At 34.3% G+C, this 4,096-nt stretch overlaps 1 annotated feature.

Moving 5' to 3' along the window:
* Positions 551-731: a silencer, noted in NCBI's record as "fragment chr6:140728369-140728549 (GRCh37/hg19 assembly coordinates)". NCBI's record gives its function as "represses an EF-1alpha promoter that drives an FKBP-Casp9 reporter gene in an ReSE screen in HepG2 liver carcinoma cells {active_cell/tissue: HepG2}" and the evidence as "EXISTENCE:reporter gene assay evidence [ECO:0000049][PMID:32094911]".

Below are 4,096 nucleotides of genomic sequence, written 5' to 3'. Positions count from 1 at the left end.
CTTGAATGGTTTGCTGCTTAGAGATTCTTCTGCTAGATACCCTAAATCATCTCTCTCAAGTTTAAAGTTTCACAGATCTCTAGGTTGGGGCAAAATGCCTCCAGTCTCTTTGCTAAAGAATTGCAAGAGTGACCTTTACTCCAGTTCCCAATAAGTTATTCATCTCTATCTCAGACCACCACAACCTGGACTTTATTGTCTATATCACCATAGCATTTTGGTCAGCACCATTCAGCAAGTCTCTAGGAAGTCTGAAAGTTTCCCACATCTTCCTGTCTTCTTCTGATCCCTTCAAATTTTTCCAACCTTGCTCATTACCCAGTTCCAAAATCGCTTCCACATTTTCAGGTATCTTTATGGCAATGCCCCACACACCTCTGGTACCAATTTTCTATATTAGTTTGTTCTTACACTGCTACAAAGAATTACCTGAGACTGGGTAATTTATTAAGAAAAGAGGTTTCAATTAACTCACAGTTCTCCAGGCTTAACAGGATGCATAACCCGGAGGCCTCAGGAAACTTGCAATTATGGCAAAAGGCAAAGGGGAAGCAAGCAAGTTCTAATGGCAGCATAAGAGAGAGAGAGAGCAAGAGAGCGCAAAAGGAGAAGTGTCACACACTTTTAAGCCATCAGATATCATGAGAATTCACTCACTGTCATGAGAACAGCAAGGGAGAAATCCACCGCCATGATCCAATCACTTCCCAGGAGGCCCCTCCCCTGACACGTGGGGATTATAATTTGACATATTTGGGTTGGGATACAGAGCCAAGCCATATCAGCTGGTATAAGTTAATTCAGAATGTTACAACTTTAGGATATTAAATGTAATCCCTATTATAACCACAAAGAAAATATTTGTGGAATATACACAAAAGGAAATTAGAAAAAATTAAAAACATTTCACTGCAAAAAACCAATAAAACACAAATGAAGACGGTAATGGAAGAAATTAGGCACACAAGAAATTTTAAAGTACACAGAAATAGCACACCCAAATCAGTTGCATTCTAATACATTGACAATGAACCATCTGTAAAGGAAATTACAAAAGCAATTTAATTTACAGTAGCATGAAAATGAATAAGATGTTTAGAAATCAATTTAACCAAAGAGGTAAAAAACTTGCATAATGACAACTATGGAACACTGTTAAAAAAAATTACAACATAAATAAATGGAAACATAGCCCATGATCTTGGACTAGAAGCATTAATAGTGTTAAGATGTCAATATTACTCAAAGCAACCTACGGACTCACTGCAATCCATATCAAAATCCCAATGATGTCTTTTCATAAATAGAAAATCATATCCAAAAATTCATATGTCAAGGGACTCTGGATGGTCAAAATAGATGGTCAATAGAAAAGGAAGAATAAAGCTAGAGGACTCATACTTCCTGATTTCAAATTTTGTTACAAAGTGACAGTAACAAAAACAATGTGGCACTGGCATAAAGACAGACATATAGGCCATTGGAATAAAATAGAGATCCTAAAAATAAATTCTCACACACATGGTCAAATGTTTTCTGACAAGGGTTTCAAGACCATTCAATTGGAAAAGAAAAGACTTTTCAACAAATGGTGCTTGGAACTGGATATTAACATGCAAAAGAATGAAGATGTACTCCTACCTAATACAATAGACACAAACACACACACACACACAAACCTCGAAGAGCTAAATGTAACATCAAAGGCCTAAATGCAAAACCTAAAATAACAAAACTCTAAGAATAAAATAGATTAAAAAGCCTAAGAGAGTAGAAAGGCAACCCACAGATTGGGAAAACATATCTGCAAATCATATTTCTGATAAGGGGTCAATATCCAGAATATATAGTAATCTCCTAAAACTCAAAGATAAGAAAAATATAACAACTCAAATATTCCATTGTATACCACATGTCCTTTTCCCATTGATCTGTCAATGGACATTTAAATTGTTTCTGTATCTTTCTATTGTGAATAGTGCTGAAATGAGCATGGGAGTACAGCTATCTCTTTCAGATCCTGATTTCAATTCTTTTGAATAAATAATCAGAATTGCTGGTTCACAAGTTAATTCTATTTGTAATTTTTTGAGGAACTGCCATATTGTTTTTCACAGTGACTGCACCATTTACATTCCTACCACCTGTGCACAAATGTTCCAATTCCTCTACATTCTCACCAATGCTCATTATTTTCTATTTTTATAGAAGCCATCCTAATGAATATGGTGATACTGTAGTTTTGATTTTCATTGCCTGACTTGTGACATTGAGCATCTTTTCCTGTGCTAATTGGTCATTTGTATATTTTCTTTGGGAAAGCGTGTACATAAGTCCTTTGTCTATTTTTATTTGAGTTATATGAAACAATAAAAGATCCCTAATAGCCAAAGCAATCTTGGGTAAAAGGAACAAACTTAGTGGCATCATATTATCTATGAAATAAACTACCATATGAAAATATACTACAAAGCTATAGTAATCAAAACGACATGATATTGGCATAAAAATAGACACATTTACCAATGGAACAGGATGGAGTCCAGAAATAAACTAATGCACTTATAGACAATAGATTTTCAATAAAGTTGCCAAGAACGCACAACAGAGGAAAGACAGTTTCTTCAATAAATGATTCTAGAAAACGGAATATCTACATGCAGAAGGATAAAATTGGATTTTTAATCTCATACCATATACAAAAATCAACTCAACATGGGTTAATGCCTTAAATATAAGACTTGCAACTGTAAAACTAGTATAAGAAAACGCAGGGAAGAAGCTGCATGACACTGGCTTGGGCAATATATATTTTTAATCTGATCCCGAAAGCACAGGCAACAAAAACAAAAATAAACAAATGAGATTGCATCAGACTGGAAAACTTCTTCACAGTAAATGAAATAATTAGCACAGTGAAGAGACAACCCACAGAATGGGAGAAAATATTTGCAAACAATATGTCTGATAAAGGGTTAATATACAATATGTAGTTATGTGCCACATAATGACATGTCCATCAATGACAGACTCCATATACAATGGTGATCCTATAAAATTATAGTGAAGCTTAAAAAGTCCTGTCACCTATTGACATCATAGCTGTCCTAACATCAAAGTGCAACACATTACCTTTTCTATGTTTAGATATATTTAGATACACAAATACTTACCATTGTGTTATAATTGCGTACAGCATAGAGTGCAGTAAAATGCTTGCCAGGTTTGTAGCCTAGGAACAATAGGCTGTACCATATAGCCTAGGTGTGTAGTAGGCTATACCATCTAGGTTTGCATAAGCACTCTATGATGTTGGTACAATGGCAAAAACCACCTAAGCACACATTTCTCAGAACATATACCCCTCATTAAGCAACACGACTGTATATAAGGAACTCAAACATTTCAATAACAAGAAAACAAGCAACCCAATGTAAATGGGCAATCCTGTTTGCAGAAACATGGATGAATATGGAGAACATTATGCTAAGTGAAATAGCCAGGCACAAAAAGATAAACTCCATATGATCTTACCCATATGTGGAATCTAAAGAAGTCAAGCTCATGGAAGTGGAAACTAGAATTGTGGTTGAGTATGATATTAGCTATAGGCTTGTTATATATAGCTTTTATTGTGTTGAGGTACATTCCTTTTATACTTAATCTGTTGAGTTTTTATCATGAAAGGATGTTGAATTGTGTCAAATGCTTATTCTTCATCTATTTAGATGATTATGTATTTTGTCCTTCATCCAATTAATGTGGTGTACCACATTAATTGATTTGCATATTTGAACCATCCTTGCATCTCAGGAATAAATCCCACTTGATTATGGATGAGTTTACTTCTTGATCTTACAGCTTTAAATCTTCATTTGCATAAATAAAACACATAAACAAACATCAGCTCATCTTTTAATTTTACTTTAAGTAACTTCACTATTTAATGGTAAACATCCTAGAAATTTAAATGAAAACTCTAAAGCAAACTAACGTAATTTCCCTCTGACATTATTATTTCAAACTGTTATATTTTTTAATGAGACTTCTGTGTTTAAACAACATGTAATCTTCATCACAGGTAGGCTTTTTTTCC

Source organism: Homo sapiens, chromosome 6, assembly GCF_000001405.40.
Source record: "Homo sapiens chromosome 6, GRCh38.p14 Primary Assembly".
NCBI classification, from domain to species: Eukaryota; Metazoa; Chordata; class Mammalia; order Primates; family Hominidae; genus Homo; species Homo sapiens.
Note: the sequence above shows the minus strand (reverse complement) of the source record. Positions and strands in the feature narration are given on the sequence as shown.